This window comes from Homo sapiens, chromosome 7 (genome assembly GCF_000001405.40).
Source record: "Homo sapiens chromosome 7, GRCh38.p14 Primary Assembly".
Taxonomy (NCBI): domain Eukaryota; kingdom Metazoa; phylum Chordata; class Mammalia; order Primates; family Hominidae; genus Homo; species Homo sapiens.
The window spans coordinates 121,236,353-121,260,626 of NC_000007.14; the positions used below are offsets into that span (position 1 = coordinate 121,236,353).

The 24,274-nt window shown below is 37.2% G+C and overlaps 1 protein-coding gene and 1 long non-coding RNA gene across 6 annotated transcripts in view; one reads left to right on the plus strand and one right to left on the minus strand.

Annotated features, from left to right (window-relative positions):
• The window catches only part of CPED1 (cadherin like and PC-esterase domain containing 1), a 308,732-nt gene that overhangs the window by 247,642 nt on the left and 36,816 nt on the right, over window positions 1-24,274 (plus strand). For 4 of the 5 annotated variants that reach the window (NM_024913.5, XM_047420856.1, XM_024446941.2 and 1 more), the window contains 2 exons: window positions 362-479; window positions 7,850-7,986. In NM_024913.5, coding sequence (NP_079189.4) covers window positions 362-479; window positions 7,850-7,986 — 255 coding nt within the window. Of the gene's footprint in view, window positions 1-361; window positions 480-7,849; window positions 7,987-8,489; window positions 9,209-24,274 lie in introns of those variants that run through there. The other variant, XM_047420857.1, reaches the window with a different exon arrangement.
• The window catches only part of LOC124901735 (uncharacterized), a 122,886-nt gene that overhangs the window by 92,489 nt on the left and 6,123 nt on the right, over window positions 1-24,274 (minus strand). The window lies entirely within an intron of this gene.

A 24,274-nucleotide genomic window follows, 5' to 3' on the forward strand; every position in this document is an offset into this window, starting at 1 on the left:
CTCTCCAAATAGTTCCCATTTCCCTTCTCACATGAACCGTCTTTTCCACTTGCTGTATTGTCCTCTATTATAGTTTGTTTTGTTTTTAATGAGTTGACACAGATATATTTTTAAAGTAAAACTTGCATTCATTTTTTAATTGGCAGAACAATGACATGAATATCAATGTCAAAATAAAGATTAAATTGTTATCTACTTCTAGCACAAACAACTATTGATAAGCTAGCAGGGGAAAGATAAGGAATATTTGCTCCCTTTTATCCATAAAGGTTATTTGCCACATAAAGTCTTATTTTTTAGATTTTATTATTATGGGTCAAGTTAATTAATACAACAACTAATATCTATTATTTTAATGCAGGATTGTGGTTTGCTGATTCATCCAGAGGAAACCTGTGGGTTACAGCCTATTTCTTCTGACTACATTGAAGCCATTTTACAGTCTGAACTAAAAAGATGTCCATCTGGGGACATGAAAGGTGACTATCACATTGGATATCACTTCTCTAAAAAAAGAATAATTTGGTATAGATAAGTGTATGCTTATTTAAACTATCCTTTTATAAAAAAACAAGGGCATTACTTTTTATTGACAATGAACTATAAAGCATATAATTAATGTAAGTGCATTGTTTTAATATTTGAAATACTTTGATTAATCAATTATTTTCTTCTCCCCTTTTTGCCCAGTTAATCCATATTCATCTGCAGATATGTTACCCATGTTACACTTGCCAGAGAGCCTTCCCTGAGCCTCTGATTTGTTTCTTTATTATATAGTTGATAGCACTCAGTAATTTTCTTCCGTAGCAGTTACCACAATTATTTAAATGACCAAGTATTGAATTAATTGTTTAATGTCAGTTTTCCCAGGATGTCAGCTTCATGAGGGCAGAGAGCCTGACTAGTTTGCATTATACTAATTCATTTGGCACCATAATTTGTACATAGTAGTTAGAAAATAAATATCTGGTGTGAACCAAAGAACTGCAAAGTATGCAAGTTCAGTTTTAAATTATCTCTTTTCACTAAAAAAAAGTTAGGGGGCATGATCACTAGTATCCCTCATATATCGGTCATTTATAGAGGCAAGAAAATTGTGACATCAAATTTAATTACTGTGTTAAATCCTGCCTAAGCACTGAGCAGAACTAGAATGAGATACATCTTTGGTGCCACTCTCAACATTCCCTATTTCTCTCCTTCCCCAGCAATCTTCTTTCAGTGGAGATGTTGGGGTCAAGCCAAAGTTGGGACTAAAAATGCCTTCAAAGCCGTTAGAGGAACAGAGAGCATCTTCTCCAAGTTTCCTGGTTACTGCTCTGTCCTCCTGACCCCAAGTCTCCCTTCCTCTAAAAAGGTCTGAAAAAACACTCAGGAGCTTTTCTACCCTTGCCATGAACTTCACACCACAGCTTGAATGGGAAATGAGTTCCCCAAATGGGCAGGACAAATTGCAATTTGGCACGCACAGTTAACAAACGTGGGCATGTCACCATTCTTGAACATGTGTTCTAAATAATAAATTACAGTCAGGGAATAGAGAGGGATTTACCCATTATGGTGTGTCAGGTGGTGTGATTTGTGATTCTCTGCTAAATGAGATATATATTATTCCATACAAAGGAGACACTGATATGTCCAGTTAAATATTTTTTATCAGATGACAATTTACGAGAAATCATTAAACAGTTGTATTCCTCCTACTGGACAAAGACAAAAGTTCTTCAACAAAAAGTTCAAGGTACATTACTGGGATTCTTCAAGAAGTGGCAGCTTGTTCTGTTCACTAAATGTACGCTAACTTATGTTAGGCTTTGTGCCTGGACATTGTGGGTGAGGCCGCCATAGAACGGTGGCCTTCTGGTACTTAAGGAGCTAGGTCTCCTTAGAGAAGGCCCCAAATTGACTCACAAATCAAGTGCACGCTCCTTAGCCTGAAAATTTGAAGCCTCCATAATCTGGCCCATTTCTATATTTCCAGCCTCCTCCCAGCCTCTTTGCCTCTCTTTATGTTGAGAGTGCCCCTTTAGAACTTCAGGTTTTTGTCCACACTGTTCCCTGTACCTACAAGTCCTCTTCCCATCTTTGCCCAGCTTCTGATGCTGGAAGTCCTCTCCGGGAAGCCTTTTTTCACCACCAGATTCCCAGCTTAGCTTCTTCCCAGTGCATCCTGGGCACATCTCTACAACAGCTCTTACCATATTATGTTAAGTATTTACATGTTTCTCACTTAGTCTCCAAAATGAAGTGATGTTCCTTACGAAGAGGAGGAAGTGGCACAGGGCCATTCATAGGGTGAAGCCAGTAAAGATTAAAATATATATGCATTTATATTTTACCTGATCATTTTTCTTTTTATGTTTTATAATTGATAAAATATATAAATATAGGAATATATATTATATATATATATTACAGTGTACTCATTAATACATCAAGGGTGCACGAGCAATATGTTTTTACTGATGGCTTACCTAGATTATAGGCTTCTCTAGAGAAGAGATTGTCCCTTATCCATCTTCCAATGTCTAATATAAGATTTTAAAATGATTGCTGAACTAAAACCAAGATCCAACCTCCCTCCCATCCACAGAAGACTATGAGCAGCCAGGGCACAATCACGACAACCAACTGCTCCATCCTCAAGCTCCAAAAGGCCCAAAGACTCAAAAACTTAACAAGTGAGGTCAGGATAGCAGTCTGCAAGAATGTATCACTTGCTGCTAGAGATGATTTCCTTCCTTAGTAGCAGGATTCCCTCCTATTGAAAGAAGTTGTTATAGTGGACAAAATTGGGAGAAAGTTGATTTAGGAGCTCTGGATTTAGTTTTAATGGCCAAAGATAGACTGGTTTGAAAATCTTATTTTAAAAGCACATTACAGCTATTTGGCAAAACTGGATCTTTTTCTTTTCACTTTGCCTATGTATTGATCTCAATATACCATTTTCAATAACATCAGCCATTAAACTTTTGAATGATTGTATTTTTTTAATTCTTAAATTGATTTCTATTTTTTAGGAAATAGTTTAACTGTAAGATACAACCTAGAATTAAATCTGTTGCTTAAGAAAGAAAAAATAATTATTCTAATTAGGAAAAATAAAAATTTCTACAGTGGTCATTGAATGAGAATTAACTTTAAGGAAAATATTTCAGATTGCATTTTATGATATGTAAACAATTTAAAAAAATTTATCCTACCTTATTTTAGCAAGGAATTATGACAACTTATACTTTAACACTAATATTGAAAATATAGATGTTTTTGTCTTCTTAAAAAATGCTTTGTATTATATAACATTACAGAGTCAGGAATTAGTGCCAACATTTACATGATTTCCTATCTCACCTCAACCCTAAATCAGAGTTGAACTTTTTTCCTCCGTTGTATCATTCAATCTGATTCACTGAAATGGCTGAAATCTAACTTGCATTAAATATAGAGCTATAATTATAAGTCAAATGACTTCTCCTAAAAGACAATTTCATTCCTCAGAATGTTGTTTCCTAAAACATATGTCACACTTTACTTCAGAAATCACAGCTTTGATTCATTCAGTGTTCAAATATATAACATAGAATTTATGGTACTTTTTTGGACAATTTTAGTAAAGAGCTGGTATTATTTAAAATGTCAAGAGCACCAGTTTTGCAGATGTTATACAGATGCCTATTTCAAGCAGTATTTAACTCACAATAAATAAAAGGAATTGTTAACCAATGCAAAAATGCAGAGTTATGGCTGTATAAATATAGAGTAGTATGAACCACTGGGGCCAAGTTTTCAGAGACCCAATCAGGCTTCCTTTTTATGTGCATGCGATTTCATGTCCACAAACTAATTGCACCCACATTTGAATCTCTGTGCACGCAATTAGCCACTTGTTTCTTCATCCTTGGCAGCAAGTGGCCAAAGTGGGCCTCAGTTTTTACAAAATTAGCTGTCAGCAAGGTTGAGGGGTACAGTGTCTGGAGTAAGGGTAGGATGCATATGCTCTGAGATTCTGAGATCTGATGAAAACAGCCTTTCAAAAGATTATTAAATAGAATCTCATTAGCAGAAACACATTTATGCCCTCAACATATCATTATCCTATTAGAAAGAAAATTAACAATCTTTGCTTAAACATAGTCTCTGTCAACACAGGAGCTCGCTAAGTAAATTCAGCTTTTTAAAATAAATTCATTATAACAATCAGTTTGTGAGTTTTCCTATAAGTGCTACCAAAGAGGATGTGGGGCTGTATTTCATTTTCCGCTGATTATTTTGTGGTGACCTAGCCTAATATGATAAAAGGATAGGCAAATTGAAGACTCAGAGGCCTCAGTTCTGGGCCTGCCCTGTCATTAACAGCATGATCCCACTTCTGTTATTTAACTCTTTGGGCCTCAGATTGCCTCTTCTGTTAAAAAAAAAAAAAAAGTGACGGGGAAGGGAGGGAGAAAGGACACACTCTAAGGCCTCTTCTGACTCCATCCAACGTGATGCTACACAGCCACTCAATGTGAACCTCTGTGAAGGAAAGACTACCATTTATCTAAGGAGGTTTGCTTGAGAAATACATCAACAAAGATTAAACTTTAGGCTGTGTCTATATCAAAGATGTGGAGGAGGTTGGTTATTAATGACAAACCATGCTTGCCAGAACAGAATTAGAATTAGAAAGCAAGATATATTCTGAATGAAAAAGAAATTATAAAACAGGCCGGGCGCGGTGGCTCACGCCTGTAATCCCAGCACTTTGGGAGGCCGAGGCGGGCGGATCACGAGGTCAGGAGATCGAGACCATCCCGGCTAAAACGGTGAAACCCCGTCTCTACTAAAAATACAAAAAAAAAAATTAGCCGGGCGTAGTGGCGGGCGCCTGTAGTCCCAGCTACTTGGGAGGCTGAGGCAGGAGAATGGCGTGAACCCGGGAGGCGGAGCTTGCAGTGAGCCGAGATCCCGCCACTGCACTCCAGCCTGGGCGACAGAGCGAGACTCCGTCTCAAAAAAAAAAAAAAAAAAAAAAAAAAAAAAAAAAAAAAGAAATTATAAAACAGAATTGGATGGAAAAATAAGCACTTTTGAGGAAGATAATCTTTATTTTGCCATTCAAAAACCAGCATCTCTCCTAAATTTTCTGTTGTTTCTTTTAGCAGTACGGCCATTCTCTACAACCAGAAACTTTAGAAACATCTTTCACATAGCAGACCCTCGTTTTCTCCAAGATATGCAGTCAGTTCTTCTGGCTCACTCCTGTCAGGCCCATCTCTTCACTGTACCTAAAGTACCACTCCTTCCAGGTCTTCAAATCTTATCTGTCCCTAAAGGCCTGTTCACATATTATCTGCTTCATGGACCCTTCCAGAAAACTCTGACCTCCATGACTCTTTCTCTATTTGGAACAATTGTGGCTCACTGAGAGTAGAGGTGGGAAAATACATAAAATATATATGTTGACTATTAGGTAATCAGGCACTATGGCAGGTGTTATACATATTTTCCTTGTGGAGAAGTAAATTTAATCATGAAAAGATTAAGTAATTTGTCTAATTTAAACAGTGAGTTTTATCCTTGGCAGCATATTGGAATCACCAAAGAAGCATTAAAAAATACTGATTTCTGAGCCCCATCCCCATTGATTCTGATTCAATGTCTGGGGTACAATCTGGGTGTGGGAATTTTTAAAAGCTTTCCAAGTGACTCTAATATGTAGTCAATGTTGAGGTCCGCAGGGCCAGTTGGAGATAGAGCCCAGGTGTGCATGCTCTCCAAAGCCCCAACTCTTTACCACACAGATATTTTTACTCCATTATGCATTACTTGTTTTTACGCTATAGTTATTCTATATTACGTATAAATTATAATCTTCTAACCTGAGTATAAATTTTTGAGGTTTAGCATTATAGTTAAGAGCATGGACTCTGGAGCTGACTGCCCTGCTCAAATCCTAGTTCTACTACTTACTAACTAGAGGATCTCAGACAAGTTCCTGAGCCCTGGTTAAGGAGATGATAACAGGGTTGTTGATGTTTAAATATGTTGATAAATTAAAGTTTTCAGAATATTCCTAGCATTTGGGAGGTACTGAAAAATGTCAACTATTCTTTAAAAATTATTATGATATTTTAACACCAATAATGCCTAACACTTCAACAGAGTATATACTTAATGTATTAAACTTAAATCCTTCTGGAGAGTCATATGTATATGGAGACATAAAGGTTAATTTATCATTCCTGAAATTGCATAGAAAGTATTTAGTAGATAGACATTTAATAAAGCAGTTTTCTGTAATCCTCATTACATGTAAAAATCAAAGAAAAGGAAAAAATGGTGGTAAGAAGAACAAATGACTCTGCATTCCTTTTGAAAATTTGGTATTTCTCTTCCAGTTGACATTGTACCCCTCAAAGTTATTGTATATTTTCTTTCCTTTCCTGGAGTTCATACTTTTCTCATCTCCTTTCCCTCCGATTTTCTTTTATCTCTTCCAGTTTCTCTCTCTTAATATACCTACATTTCTTTCTCTTTCTGTGTTCAATCAGTAAGAGCCATAAACTATATCATCTTTCATATTTTATATTAATAACTATTTCCACATACACAAACACATTCACAATTCTAACATCCCTGAAGTCATGAATATAAAATGCACTATATTCATCTCCTAAAAACAGAAATCCTTTCCCCTAAAATTAATATAACACCAGATACCATTATTAGCAGTACCACTAATCAAAGCCAGAATGGACAAAGTTTTTAAGTTTTTTCCTTTCTAACTCAAGAACTATCTGGGTGATATTTAGCTCCTCAGTTTTGAAGGGTAAACATATACTAGTAACATAAGCAAGATATTTAGGGTAAGGAGAGTGATTATCAGAGAAATAATTGCATATGTTCTCCAACAAGGAGAGAAATAACCACTCCATATTTGTTCATATGATGTGCTATGTTCACACTCAATTCCTGAAACGATGAACAAGGAAAAAAAAACAAAAAAATTATATTTTTCTACCACATTATTAATGTATCCACTCACACTAAAAGCTGAAGTGTTTTGCATGAATGTTGTTTTATCAGTAAAACAGGAAAGATCTTAAATGCATAGAGAATATTCATTTATTTTATAAACATTTGCTAAAGCTTGGGACCTACTTTCTACCTGAACTCTGTTAGTAACAAAAGATGAATACAATATTGCAAATGTGTCTTAAATACATTATTCCATTACATTGTTACACCAATCATGTGAGAAGAACTGTACACACCTCATCTAACAGATGAAGAAATTCAGGCAACAGCTAGAAAGAGGTGAAGACATTCACACGAAAAAGGCCATCAATCAAATCAAAGAAAAATAACTAATCTTCAAAATAATAAATTATCATCATACTGAAGTAGTTCTCTTGTATCTTAAATCCCTTGAGAGCAGGGAATAGATCTATTATACTTATGGACAGAGAACCTATGCATGTGTTAGGCTAATAAATATTTGAGGCTAACTGCCAATTTGTGGGGCTCCCAGTCTATTAATGCTTTGGTCTTACTGAAGTGTTCAATGTACTGTTTAAAAATAGGTAATGATTGAGTAATACTTAGATTTTTAATAAGTATAAGGTTTCATGGAACAGAGCTCATACTTGATTTTAGCATGAAATGTGTTATTTCAGAACATTACTTAATGTTGCTATTCTATTTGGTTGGCAGGAAGCCATGCCTTCATTATTCCACTAGATTTAAAGGATAAGGATGGTCTTACTATAATTTCTGAAATGGTGTGCCATAGCTGAATTTTAAAGTTACTTACAAACTTCACCAGCAGAAACAGAACCAAAGAAAGTTTTGCCATCTATTCCAGGCCAGTGGATTGTGCCTTGCCTTAGTTGTTCGGACAACAGGACGTGTGACTGGAGAGAAATAACCTGGCAGCCCCACAACTGCCAATATGGTGTCCTAACTAAGCCTCAACTCCAGCAGTGCCTGGGAGGAAGGAAGGTAGGTTCTGGATCTAGTGGGGGAAGCCTTTAATGTATGCCACCTGAAGTACTAAAAATCGTATAGTTGTATCTACTAGACCAATTCCTGCTGTCTCACAGCAGAGGAAAACTAACTGAATGCAATATGGCTTTTTGAATCATGTATAGATGTTATCATAGAATAGCCTGAACAATTCCCGCTCCAAATGTTCAGTTTTCTCCAAGTAACTCTGTTTGACAGATGGAGGATATTAAAGTCTTGTCCTATGCTGACCCGATTCCATGCTGTTTTCTCAGCACAAATTGGTAGGAGCTTGCCACGTCAACTGACAGTTGGCAGTTGAGAGCAGCTGGCCTTGTCAACTGCAGCTCTGGCAGGCACTGCTGTGAAAACAGACATCTGCAGCTCAGCACAGGAAATCAAAAGGTCCTGCATGTGAGACTCACTTCTAGAGCTTTCCAAGTGCATGGGATTGTTTTTACGCACTAACCTTACTGATCTTCTTTCATATTCCTGGGCAGGTCTCACATGGACCTCACTAGGCTGATTTTTCCTTTAGTGAGGCTTCTAAGCTGATTTCTGGGACATGCAGTGTCTTCTTGCTAGGCATGCTCTGACTAGGTAGAGTCTGGCAGAACTCTCGGATATGCAAAATGGGCACATAGACTGAGATGCTTGGTTAACATCAAGTAAGTAATCCTTAACCCAATTTTCAAAGTGCTTTTTATTAGATGGACATTTCCTTATACAGTTTGTAAGCTCTCACACATGAGCAAGACTGATTTCAAAAGCTGATTTTCACAAAGCTCTATTAAAACACATAGAAAAAAAGGCCTGGGCAGAAGGTATGCCAATTTACTAGCAAATAGTTAAAGAAGAATAACAGGAGCTGAGGGGCAGGACAGAAAGATGGACATCTTCTTCATGGTGATTTCAATATAAATGTTCCAATTTTCATGATTGAGAATGTCTCTAAAGATCAATCAGTAGTGTTAGTTCCTTTTTTTAAAAAAAGAAGGGAAGAAAATCATTTAGGAACTTATGTTGCAGTGTTATTAATTGAGCATTGATTTTGTGCAAGAAACTGTGTTTCTTGCTAAATTTGTTACACTTTAAATCCCACCAGACTGTAAGCTTCAAAAGGGCAGGGAATGTGTTTAATCCACCGCCATAATCTCATTGTTGAGCATAATTTTTGACGCAGAATAGTAACTTAATAAATATTTATCAAGTAAATGAATAAATTAAAAGTGTATTTATTCCTAATTGCAGCTAAGGTAGATATTATCATATCTTTTTTCTGCTTAAGATAAGTAAAGCTCAGAGAGATTGAGTAATTCACTGATGATCATACATGTATGGGTGTGGCTACTCCACAGGCATTTTTTTTTTTTTTGTCTCACACTGTCACCCAGGCTGGAGTGCAATGGCGTGATCTCAGCTCAATGCAACCTCCACCTCCTAGGTTCAAGCGCGTCTCCTGCCTCAGCCTCCCGAGTAGCTGGGATTACAGGCGCCTGCCACCACGCCTGGCTAATTTTTTGTAATTATAGTAGAGACGGGGTTTCACTATGTTGGCCAGGGCTGGTCTCGAACTCCTGACCTCAAGTGATCCACCCGCCTCGGCCTCCCTAAGTGCTGGGATTACAGGTGTGAGCCACCATGCCCAGCCCTCCACAGGCATTTTAAACCATCACCTTGGATAATCCAGCCTCCATATCCTATAAATGTTGCACTGGGAGCAATGACAATAGCTGTTGCCACACAGCCAGACTTCTCTAAGCTCAGAATACCATTCTGACCTCAGAATTTAGGGTGTTCAGAAAAATTCCAAGAAACTGTCACAGTCTATTAACCTGAAAAGCAGTAGATGTTCATTTAAGTTCATCACTAAATCCTACGGTTTTGGACACGACACGTCTTGTTTCTCAGGCTCATTTTCTTCATCTGTAAAATAACCCTCTGTGGTAGATGAATCAACTTTGTAAAAAGCTAAAGGCCCTCTTCCCTGTTTGTCTTAGCTCGAGCTGCTATAATAACATACAATAGACTGGGTGGCTTAAAGACCAGACACTTATTTCTCACAGTTCTGGAGGCTACGGAGTCCTAGATCAAGGTGTCAGTATGGTCAGGTTCTTGGGATAGCCCTCTTCCTGGCTTCTGTTGACTGCCTTCTTGCTTTGTCATCACACAGCAAAGAGAGAGAAAGAGTTTTAGTCCCTGACTCTTATAAGGAAACTAATCCCATCATGAAGCCTCTATCATTATGACCTTATCTAAACGTAATGACCTCCCAAAGACCTCTACCTCCTAATAGCATCACATTGGAGATTAGTGTTTCAACATATGCATTTGGAGGAAACATAAACTTTCAGCCCACAACATTATCTTTACTAATTTCTAGGCTGATTATTAATGACTCTACAAAGTAGTGGTTAAAAAAAAAAGATCATTGTTCATACCTGTTAATGAGAGAGGGTATTGCAAAATTTGAAAATAAAAGTCCGTGCTTAAATGAGACTTCAGAAGACCAGTTAGCTTGCTGCACAGCAAAAGGGCTTATCTTTGTGACTCTCCTAGTTTGCAGGTGTTCTTCAGAACTTGCATGCTCAGAAATTCAAATTTGCCAACACACTGCCAATAGGTCTACATAGACTGATGTATTTATCAAGACGCTAATTTATTCTATATGCAAAAGGCAAGCATTATCCATTTTTAACAGAGAAGTGGCACAACCAGCATTAGAAAGGCCATGCCGCAGCAGCATGGAGGCTCTTTAGGGGTAATAAAAAATAGATGCTAGGGAGGCAGAGGCTGTGTAATGGGAAAATTCCAACATGCATAATTGAGGAGGCAAAGCAATTATAGACTATATCCAGAATAATCCCGTTGATGTAAAATCCAACGCATACCTACAAACATGTTTACATGCATAGAGAATTTCTTGAAGTAACAAACAGTTAAGAGTAATTTGATAGGGGGAGAGGAGTGGGAGAGGGGCAGGGTGCAAAATAAAAATACAGGATCCTGTGTTCAAAATTTATTAAGAGTTTCAAGACAATAGTAGAACAAAAGGTGAACAAGAGGGCCAGTGACATAGCCAAGAAATGCCTGAGAGAGATCAAGGTTTCAAGTAAACCAACATTTGGACAGATCTTTGGAGAGAAAACGCCAAAAGCAGATGGCAACACAGATGCTAAGGCTGAGGAGGGAGGAGGCTGGTAACCCTGTCCAGGGTACCCAAACACTGGGGCTAGTTCCCAGCCCTGAATGGGTCCCGGGGAATAGATGAGTGAAGGAACTGTGGGACTACCCACACTTGCTGTGGACTTCTGGATTCCTGGCTACAGGGGACCCAACATACCCCACGGACATTTGAGCTGACAGGGGAATCTGTCCAGAGAGTAGACATAGATGGTACCTGAGCCAGTGCAGAAACAGGGGCCTTAGTGCACAACACATCTCTGGCGGAACCCATCTCTGGCTATAGGCACCCATCCCCCAAGTTTCCCTATCTCCCTCCAAGAAGTTTTATCCCCAGCCTACTGCTTAGCCAGAAGAAAATAGGGCCAACTTCCCCACAGGACTGGGGCATATCTGTTCTGCAGACCCTCCTGCCCACCCTGCCTGGCTTCTCTGCAGGAGCATGTGCACAGCAGCCTCCACTGCACAGCTGGATGCTTTGCTCCACCTGATTATGTTCCTGATGGCCTGGGAGCACTTTAGATCCCCTAGCGCACCTGAAACCTAACTCCAAGGGTTCAAAGGATAGAGCCACTAGCTGATCCTGGTGCCCAAGGCTGCAGTGTGCAGCTCAAGAGTGCTGAGCCAGGATATGTGGCCAGCACTCAAGTGGGAAACAAACCCACATTCTCAGAGCACTAAGAGGGATGACATGTGTGGTTTCATGGGCTGGAACAGGAGCAAGCCATGCCTCCCTCCACAGGACCAGCCTGGAAAGAATGTGGCCTATCTCCTTGCCGGAGCCTCTGTTCAGGGAGCCCCACAGCTTGGATCACCTAACAAAAGAAATGCAGACACAGTACCAGTGATTAAAGGGGGCTCCCCAAAGATGTAGGAGCAGGACTAATGAGAGGAGGTGACCTCTCTCCCCACCATACTACAGAGCATGGCTGCAAACTTGAATAAATACAGAGGAGCCCTGTGGCTGAGTAAGGGCCTAACACATATTACTTTTATATGCCATCTACTGGATCATAGCCCAAACTGCCACACCAAAAAGATTTTGCTAATATAGCAGCACCCTGTGAAACAAAAAAAAAAAAAAAAAAAGCATTAAGCCACAAATAAAGATGCCGTACAGAGCCTTGCCCTTTGAAAACATCCAGAAATAAAGCCAAGTGACTATACTCAACTCACACCACATTTAAAGGAACACTAACTCTCCCAAATAAGAAAGAATCAGCCTAAGAATTCTGGCAATTTAAAAACTAGAGTGTTCTCTTACCTCCAAATGAGTCCACTAGCTTCTCAGCCATGTTTCTTAATCAGTATAAAATGACTGAAATGATAGACATAGAATTCAGAATATGGATGTCAAAGAAACTCATCAAGATTCAACAGAAAGTTGAAACTCAATCCAAGAAATCCATAAAATGATTCAAGAGTTCAAAGATGAAATAGCCATTTTGAGAAAGATTCAAATTTAACTTCTAGACTTGAAAAAATTCACTGTAAGAATTTCATAATACAATCAGAAGTATTAGCAGCAGAATAGACCAGGCTGAGGAAAGACTCTCCAAACTCAAAAACGGGTTCTTTGAATCAACTCAAACAAGAATAAAGAAAAAAGTACTTGAAAAAATTAAACAAAAACTCCAAGAAATATGAGATTATATAAACAGAACAAATCTGCAACTCATTGGCATTCCTGAGAGGGGAGAGATAATAGACAACTTAGAAAATACATTTGATGATATAGTTCATGAAAATTTCCCTAATCTCATGAAAGAGGTTAACATGCACATTCAAAAAACATGGAGAACTCCAGCTATATGCTATATGAAATGACCATCCCCAAAGAACATACTCATCAGATTCACCAAGATCAATATAAAAGAAAAAATTTTAAAGGCAGCTTGCTAGAGAGAAGGGTCAAGTCTCATACAGAGGGAACCACATTAGGCTGGCAGCAGACCTTTCAGCAGAAACCTTACAAGCCAGAGATTAGGGGCCTATTTCTAGCATCTTTAAAGAAAAGAAATTCCAACCAATAATTTTATATCCCACTAAAATAAACTTTATAAGTGAAGGAGAAATAAAATCATTCTCAGATAAGCAAACACTGAGGGAATTTGTTTCAAATAGACCACCAGCATTACAAGAGGTCCTTAAGGGAGTGCTGAACATGGAATTAAAAGATCAGCACCTGCTACCACAAGAAGGCCATTACATAATGGTAAAGGGATCAATTCAACAAGAAGAACTAACTATCCTAAATATATATGCACCCAATACAGGAGTACCCAGATTCATAAAGCAAGTCCTTAGTGACCTATAAAGAGACTTAGACTCCCACACAATAATAATGGGAGAATTTAACACCCCACTGTCAACATTAGACAGATCAACAAGACAGAAAGTTAACAAGGATATCCAGGAATTGAACTCAGCTCTGCACCAAGCGGAACTAATAGACGTCTACAGAACTCTCCACCCCAAATCAACAGAATATACATTCTTTTCAGCACCACACCATACCTATTCCAAAATTGACCACATAGTTGGAAGTAAAGCACTCCTCAGCAAATGTAAAAGAACATAAATTATAACAAACTGTCTCTCAGACCACACTGCAATCAAACTAGAACTCAGGATTAAGAAACTCACTCAAAACTGCTCAACTACATGGAAACTGAACAACCTGCTCCTGAATAACTACTGGGTACATAACGAAATGAAGGCAGAAATAAAGATGTTCTTTGAAACCAACGAGAACAAAGACACAACATACCAGAATCTCTGGGACACATTCAAAGCAGTGTGTAGAGGGAAATTTATAGCACTAAATGCCCACAAGAGAAAGCAGGAAAGATCTAAAATTGACACCCTAACATCACAATTAAAAGAACTAGAGAAGCAAGAGCAAACACATTCAAAAGCTAGCAGAAGGCAAGAAATAACTAAGATCAGAGCAGAACTGAAGGAAATAGAGACACAAAAAACCCTTCAAAAAATCAGTGAATCCAGGAGCTGGTTTTTTGAAAAGATCAACAAAATTGATAGACCGCTAGCAAGACTAATAAGAAAAGAAAGAAGAATCAAATAGATGCAATAAAAAATGACAAACGGGATATCACCATCGATCCCACAGAAATACAAACTACCATCAGAGAATACTATAAACACCTCTATGCAAATAAACTAGAAAATCTAGAAGAAATGGATAAATTCCTCAACACATACACCCTCCCAAGACTAAACCAGGAAGAAGTTGAATCTCTGAATAGACCAATAACAGGATCTGAAATTGAGGCAATAATTAATAGCTTACCAACCAAAAAAAGTCCAAGACAGATGGATTCACAGCAAAATTCTACCCAAGGTACAAGGAGGAGCTGGTACCATTCCTTCTGAAATTATTCCAATCAATAGAAAAAAAGGGAATCCTCCCTAACTCATTTTATGAGGCCAGCATCATCCTGATACTGGCCTGGCAGAGACACAACAAAAAAAGAGAATTTTAGACCAATATCCTTGATGAACATTGATGCAAAAATCCTCAATAAAATACTGGCAAACCGAATCCAGCAACACATCAAAAAACTTATCCACCATGATCAAGTGGGCTTCATCCCTGGGATGCAAGGCTGGTTCAACATATGAAAATCAATAAACATAATCCAGCATATAAACAGAACCAAAGACAAAAACCACATGATTATCTCAATAGATGCAGAAAAGGCCTTTGACAAAATTCAACAACCCTTCATGCTAAAAACTCTCAATAAATTAGGTATTGATGGGACGTATCTCAAAACAATAACAGCTATCTATGACAAACCCACAGCCAATATCATACTGAATGGACAAAAACTGGAAGCATTCCCTTTGAAAACTGGCACAAGACAGGGATGCCCTCTCTCACCACTCCTATTCAACATAGTGTTGGAAGTTCTGGCCAGGGCAATCAGGCAGGAGAAGGAAATAAAGGGCATTCAATTAGGAAAAGAGGAAGTCAAATTGTCCCTGTTTGCAGGTGACATGATTGTATATCTAGAAAACCCAATTGTCTCAGCCCAAAATCTCCTTAAGCTGATAAGCAACTACAGCAAAGTCTCAGGATACAAAATCAATGTGCAAAAATCACAAACATTCTCGTACACCAATAACAGACAAACAGAGCCAAATCATGAGTGAATTCCCATTCACAATTGCTTCAAAGAGAATAAAATACCTAGGAATCCAACTTAAAGGGATGTGAAGGACCTCTTCAAGGAGAACTACAAACCACTGCTCAAGGAAATAAAAGAGGATACAAACAAATGGAAAAACATTCCATGCTCATGGGTAGGAAGAATCAATATTGTGAAAATGGCCATACTGCCCAAGGTAATTTACAGATTCAATGCCATCCCCATCAAGCTACCAATGACTTTCTTCAAAGAATTGGAAAAAACTACTTTAAAGTTCATATGGAACCAAAAAAGAGCCCGCATTGCCAAGTCAATCCTAAGCCAAAAGAACAAAGCTGGAGGCATCACGCTACCTGACTTCAAACTATACTACAAGGCTACAGTAACCAAAACAGCATGGTACTGGTACCAAAACAGAGATATAGACCAATGGAACAGAACAGAGCCCTCAGAAATAACGCCGCATATCTACAACTATCTGATCTTTGACAAACCTGACAAAAACAAGCAATGGGGAAAGGATTCCCTATTTAATAAATGATACTGGGAAAACTGGCTAGCCATATGTAGAAAGCTGAAACTGGATCCCTTCCTTACCCCTTATACAAAAATTAATTCAAGATGGATTAAAGACTTACATGTTAGACCTAAAACCACAGAAGAAACCCTAGAAGAAAACCTAGGCAATACCATTCAGGACATAGACATCGGCAAGGACTTCATGTCTAAAACACCAAAAGCAATGGCAACAAAAGCCAAAATTGACAAATGGGATCTAATTAAACTAAAGAGCTTCTGCACAGCAAAAGAAACTACCATCAGAGTGAACAGGCAACCTACAAAATGGGAGAAAATTTTCGCAACCTACTCATCTGACAAAGGGCTAATATCCAGAATCTACAATGAACTCAAACAAATTTACCAGAAAAAAACAACCCGATCAAAAAGTGGGCAAAGGATATGAACAGACACTTCTCAAAAGAAGACATTTATGCAGCCAAAAAACACACGAAAAAATGCTCATCATCACTGGCCATCAGAGAAATGCAAATCAAAACCACAGTGAGATAGCATCTCACACCAGTTAGAATGGTGATCATTAAAAACTCAGGAAACAACAGGCTGGAGAGGATGTGGAGAAATAGGAACACTTTTACACTGTTGGTGGGACTGTAAACTAGTTCAACCATTGTGGAAGTTGGTGTGGCAATTCCTCAGGGATCTACAACTAGAAATAGCATTTGACCCAGCCATCCCATTACTGGGTATATACCCAGAGGATTATAAATCATGCTGCTATAAAGACACATGCACACGTATGTTTATTGCGGCACTATTCACAATAGCAAAGACTTGGAACCAAGCCAAATGTCCAACAATGATAGACTGGATTAAGAAAATGTGGCACATATACACCATGGAATATGATGCAGCCATAAAAAATGATGAGTTCATGTCCTTTGTAGGGACATGGATGAAGCTGGAAACCATCATTCTCAGCAAACTATCACAAGGACAAAAAACCAAACACCTCATGTTCTCACTCATAGGTGGGAATTGAACCATGAGAACATATGGACACAGGAAGGGGAACATCACACACCGAGGACGGTTGTGGGGTGGGGGGTGGGGGGAGGGATAGCATTAGGAGATATACCTAATTCTAAATGACGAGTTAATGGGTGCAGCACACCAACATGGCACATGTATACATATGTAACAAACCTGCATGGTGTGCACATGTACCCTAAAACTTAAAGTATAATAATAATAAAATAAAAAAAAGGAACATAGCTCACTGGCACTGTAAAGCAATTACACAATCTAGTCTACATAACAACCAGCTAATAAAATGATGACAGGATCAAAATCTCACATATCAATACTAACCCTAAATGTAAATGGGCTAAATGACATATTTTAAATGCACAGAGTAGCAATCTGGGTAAAAAGATAAGACTCAACCATTTTCTGTCTTCAAGAGACCCATCTTGATGTAAGAACACCCACAAGCTCAAAGTAAAGGGATGAAGAAAGTTATACCATACAAACAAAAAAGAGCAGGAGTTGCTATTTTATATCAGATAAAATAGACTTTAAACCAATACAAATTAAGAAGGACAAAGAAAGGTATTATATAATAATAAAGAGTAAATCCAACAAGGAGATTTAACTATCTTAAATATTTATACACCAAATATTGAAGCACCTAGATTCATAAAACACGTTCTTGTTGGCCTATGAACAGATTTAGACACAATAATAGTGGGAGACTTTAACACCCCACTGACAGCATTAGACAGACCTTCAAGGCAGGAAACTAACAAAGAAACTCTGGACTTAAAATCACTTGACCAATTGGACCTAATAAACACCTACAGAACGCTCCACCCAACAACCACAGAATATATAGTCTTCTCATCTACACACAGAACATATTCTAAGATTGAATACATGCTTGAACATAAAGCAAATCTCAACAGATTCCAAAAAATTAAATCATACAAAGCACATTCTCACACCACAGTACAATAAAAACAGAAATCAATATCAAGAAGATCCCTTAAATCTACTCAAATACATGAATATTAAACAACTTGCTCCTGAATAACTTTTGGGAGAAGAATGAAATTAAGGCATAAATTTAAAATTTGTTTGAAATTAATAAAAATAGCAACTCAATTACCAAAATCTCTGGAATACAACTAAAGTTGTGTTAAGAGGACAGTTTATAGCACTAACCACCTTCCTCAAAAAGTAAGAGAGGTCTCAAATCAACAATATAAGTTTCCACCAAAAGGAATTAGAAAAAAGAGAACAAACTAAGCCAAAACCTAGCAGAAAAAAATAAATAACTAATGTTAGAGAAGAACTGAACAAAACAGAGATGTAAAAATCCTTACAAAAGATCAGTGAAAACAGAAGTCGGTTCTTCAAAAAGATAAGTAAGACTGATAGACTAACTAGATTAACAACAACAAAAAAGAGAGATCCAAATAAGTACAATCATAAATGACAAAGATGATATTACAACTGATTCCACAGCATACAAAAGATCCTCAGAGAATACTATGAATAACTCTTTGCACACAAATTAGAAAATCTAGAGGAAATGGATAAATTCCTAAAAACACACAAACTCCCAAAATTGAAAAGGAAGAGATCAAAATTTTGAATAGACCAATATTGAGCTCTGAAATTGAATCAGTAATTAAAAAAAAAAACATACCAATCAAAACAAGACCTGACCCAGATGGATTCACAGCCAAATTCTACCAGATGTACAAAAAAGAATTGGTACCAATGCTACTGAAACTATCCCAAAAAATCAAAGAGGAGGGATTCCTCCTTAACTCATTCTATGAAGTTAGCATCAGCCTGATACCAAAATCTGGCAGAGACACAATGAAAATAGAAAACTTCAGCCCAGTTTGCCTGATGAACATAGATGCAAAGATTCTCAACCAAATACTAGCAAACCGAATTCAGCAACACATCAAAAGATTAATACACTACAACCAAGTAGGCATTATTCCTGGGATGGAAGGCTGATTCAATGTATGCAAATCAGTAAATGTGATTCACCACATAAAAAGAATGAAAGCAAAAAGTCACATAATCATCTCAATACATATAGAAAAAGCTTCTTATAAATTTCAACATTCCTTCATGATAAAAAACTCTCAACAAACTAGGCATCAATTGAAAGAACATACTTCAAAATAATAAGAGCCATCTATGACAAACCCACAGCTAACATCATATGGAATGGGCAAAAACTGGCACTGTTCCCCTTGAGGACTGGAACAAAACAGGTATACCTACTCTTACCACTCCTATTCAACATAGTACTGGAAGTTCTAGCCAGAGCAATCAGGCAGAGAAAGAAATAAATGGCATCAAAATAGGAAAAAAAGTCAAACTAACTCTCTTTGTTAACGATATGATTCTATACCTAGAAAACCCTAGAGAATGCCAAAAGGCTCTTAGAACTAATAAACAATTTTAGTGAAGTTTTAGGATACAAAATCAATGTACAAAACTCAGTAGCATTTCTATACACCAATAATGTCCAGGCTGAGAGTCAAATCAAGAACACAATCCCATTTACAATAGCCACAATGAAAATGAAATACCTAGGAATACAGATAAGCAAGGTGGTGAAAGATCTCTATGAGGATAACTTCAAAATACTGCTGAAAAAATCAGAGATGACATAAATAAATGGAAAAACCTTACATGTTCATGGATTGGAATAATTAATATTGTTAAAATGGCCATACTGCCCAAAGAAATTACAGATTCAATGCTCTTCCTATCAAACTACCAATGTCACTTTTCATAGACTGGGAAAAACTATTCTAACATTCATATGGGACCAAAAAAGAGCCCTAATAGTTAAAGCAATCCTAAGCAAAAAAAAAAAACAAAACAAAAAAAAAAAACAAAGCTTATGCCAAAGACATAACTACCCAACTTCAAACTATACTATAAAGCTGCAATAACCAAAACAACATGGTACTGACTCAAAACCAGACACATAGACAAGTGGAACAGAATAGAAAACTCAGAGATAAAGCTGCATATCTACAACCATCTGATCTTCAACAAGGCCAGTGAAAGCAAGCAATGGTGAAAGGCTCTTTATTCAATAAATGGTGCTGGGATAACTGGCTAGACATATGCAGAAGAATGAAACCGGACCCTTACTTTTCACCATATACAAAAATTATTTCAAGATGTATTAAAGATTTAAATGTAAGACCTCAAGCTATAAAAATCCTAAAAGAAAACAGCAATAAGATACCATTTCATACCAGTCAGAATGGCTATTACTGAAAAGTCAAAAAACAACGGATGCTGGAGAGGCTGCAGAGCAAAAAGAACACTTATACACTGTTGGTGGGAATGTTAATTAGTTCAGCCACTGTGGAAAGCAGTTTGGAGATTTCTCAAAGAACTTAAAACTGAGCTATTATTTGACCCAGCAAACCCATTACTGGGTATATTTATTTATTTATTTCCTTCCCAAAGGAAATAAATTGTTCTGCCAAAAAGACGCATGCACTCGTATGTTCATCACCACACTATTCACAATAGCAAAGACATGGAATCAACCTAGGTGCCCTTCAATGGTGAACTGGATAAAGAAAATGTGGTACATATATACATTCCATGGAATACTACACAGTCATAAAAAGAGCAAAATCGCATCCTTTGCAGAAACATGAATGCAGCTGGAGGCCATAATTCTAAGCAAATTAACACAGGAACAGAAAATAAAATACTACATTTTCTCACTTGTAAGTGAGAGCTAAACATTAAGCAGACATGGACATAAACATGGGAACAATAGATGCTACAGACTACTGGGGACGAAAGGGAGGGGCTATAGGTAGAAAAATTACCTATTGGGTACTGTGCTCACTATCTGCATAGCAGGATCCATATCTCAAACCTCAGCATCATGCAATATACTCATGCAGCAAACCTGCACACATACGCCATATCTGCAATAAAAGTTGAAGTTTGGGGAAAAAAAGACAATAGAAGAGCAATGAACCAAGCACAAGACCCTTCAAAGCATGTGGCCCTGCAAGACCGTCCAGGTCACATGCCCATGAAGCCAGCTTGGGTGGTAAAGCATAGTTGGTTAAGCATGAAGAGATATTTTTAAATATTTCTGTATGATTTTCATTTTTACAGTGTGTGAGCACTGTTTTCTTAATCTAAAAGTCTGTATTTGAAAAGGTTGTATAAATTAGAACCAAGGCAGAGGCAGTGGAAATGCAGAGGGGAGAGCCTGAGAAAGATATTTTTTTTTTATTCAGAATCACAGGAGTTAGCCAAAAACAGTCAGGTGTATACACTCATATTTCACACAACACAGAGATAATTGCGTAAACATTCACAAATACAACTATGACTAGCACTTATTTTAAGAAAGCTTCACTTATGAATAGGAGTAGGTGAGCAAAGGGTTTTCCCGGTACATCTATTTCTTACTTTCCATGAGAATGATAAAAATATACAAAACAATCCTGTAATTTTTCTCTTTCATTACTAAGACAAATAAGTTCTCATCCTACCCAGAATGTTCTATAATCTCCAACCCATTCCAAAGACAAATAAATGTTAAAGCATAACAGTTACAAAAATAGAAATACAACTAATATATTTTGTTTTCTATACACATTATATACTGACCTTTTTTACCTCTCTTCCTACCATGTTATATATTCAATGAAAGTAACATTATTTGAGCAACATTATACAGAAATTTCTTCCACATATACATAAGGACAGCAGGACATTAATGGAGTAGGAAAAGTCTCAGGCTGGCAATCAGGAAGCCTAAGCTACAGTTCTGATCCCACCAGATGAAATGATTCTTTTAGATATTAAACTCATCAGATTAACTGTGCTGCCCCATATCAGCAATGTTGCAATATCAGTTACCCTAATATGTTACCACAGAGTAGAGTCCAGCTGAACACTTAAAAAGTTAACTTCTGAATACTTTTTACAACTTTTTTGATATTATGTTGTTCATTCATTCAATGTTTGTTGAACCAAATATCTGTTCCAGGAGCACATATATGATCCTTCAAGGTGCTCAGTTTCTAGTGGAAGAAGACAAATGAGAGAAACAATCATTGCAATATAGCACAATAATTGCAATAGTAGAAAGTAGAGGTGGGCACTGGATCCAGCCTGGAAAGATCTAGAAAAGTTGCCAGAAGAAAATTGCCTAGGCAGAGTGGTGTTTGCAGTGAAAGGCAATCTATGAGTCACATTACTTTGAAAGAAGTTAATTGAACTAGAAAAATACGGATATTTATTTTTTGCAAAAGCATCTACTCTGAGAATCCTATCACTCAAGCCTTATGCTGCTGTCTTTGATTTGCTTTCTACTGGAGGAACAGACAATGGAGTGCTAAGAAGGCAGGAACTACCTATGAGAAGGCACTAGAGAAGATTCTGAGGTTCCCACTTCAGTGTGCTCCAGTTCACATATCTTGGATTATGTAAAATTGTGTACGTACCTAAATACACAGTTTTAACAATATAGTTGCCTTCCTGAAGACTTTCAATTAATATGTAAAATTCGAATTTTTAACAGTGAGAATCCAGAAGTTTCACTGTTGCCAGGAATAAATAGTTCAAAATATTGTGCTACAAAAACTTTATTTTCAATGCTAATCACATCACAGCAAGCTTCTACTTTGGGAACATATTAAAGTGAATTGTCTCTCTCTGAAGAATTGAATTAAAAGGCAATGGAATTTGGCCAGGGCATTGAGAACTATTAGAAAGTTAGGCCTTCAAATAGTGCTCTGCTTTCTTTAGAATCTCTAAGTAGTAATTTCTCTCAGCTGAATTTCCTTATGTTGTTATTGTGACCTTTTATATCTTTTTCCTACTGTTGTACATTGATGAATGCCAAGACTGTACTTGCAAATAGAAGCCCACCTGCCTATAGGGAAGGAACAAGACACAAATCAGTGGAGATCTGAAAAGGTGCTCAAGCTTCTAGTAATTTTGACCAGGAATCTAACCACACTTAATGGCCTGTGAGCAGGATCATACTTCATATACCTCAGTCATTTGTCTTCATTGCAGCAACATGAACAGGAGGCTGATCTTGGGTGGAAAGTTGGAACAAGTTTTCCCCCTCTGAACATTAGGTGAATATAGGACACTTTTGAACTCTAAATGTATCCAAATAATTTCATTTATAGATTTATTTCACTTACAAGTTTTTGTATATGTACATAGGTTTTGTGATATACAATTGTGTTGAATTAAAGGAAAATCAATTGAAAAAAAGCAAGCTATGTATTAAATGATATGTTCACACATTTCTTTAAATAGATACCTACCTCTTTATAAATGCTGAATGGAACACATAGAAATTATGAGAACATAATTTTGTAATCACAGGGTAAAATATGTAGGAAATAGTTTAGAAATATGACAATCAAATTTACAACTGCAAAAACTTAGAAGCCTGACCTAACTGAATTAAACAAGCCTTTATTTTGTTTGTCAGTGGAAAACAGTTCAGAATTTAAGCCAGTAATAAAATATCTGAGAGGAGGGTGCAATTAAGAAAGGGAAATATAAAAAGGCAATATTTACAAAAAGTACTTAAACTCAGCTGTTAAAACAGGGAATGTAACTTAAATTTTTAAGTAATGTTTTCATGTTAAGTAGTGTCTTGGACTTAAAGGTGTTTAAATTTTCAAAGTGTGGCTAATTTAAAATAATATGTTCTGACTAATATGTGAATTCCATTATGGTTACGTAATTCATTATTGCCTGTCAGTTTCAGTAAATCAGTCAGATATAAGGAAAGAGTGCACCTCACTCTTACCAGGAAATGATGACTTACACATGATGCCCTCCTTCGCATTCAATAAATACTACAACAATCCAGAGATAATGGCAATGTAGACAAATAATTTTGTTCCAAGCAGCTAGAAGAGCTATGCCTAGGTGATGTTGTAGAGTTGCTTGCTTCGCGTTTTTTTTTTTTTTTTTTTTTTTTTGCCAAATTTTATGTCTGAGAGTGATTTGCCTAAGTGTCAATCTTATATTTGTTTTTGACTGCAAACATCAATTTGGCTGCTCATCTACATCCAACTTAATTAAAATGCACAATTGGAAAACATTTATTGTAACCGCATCACATTTCACAGAGGGATGCTTTGTTGAGCTAGTTTTTCATCATGACCTAAATATCATTAGCCGTCTGACCAGTCTCAGCTTCATATTACAACTGAACCACCCCTTTCATCATTTAGAAATGCATGTTTATCTTAGGAGATCAGTGGTTTTCGACCTTAGGGCTCATCAGTATCACTGTAGAGCTTTCTAAATATGTGGGTTATGCTTGGCTCTGGACCTAGATGTAACAAATAAGACTC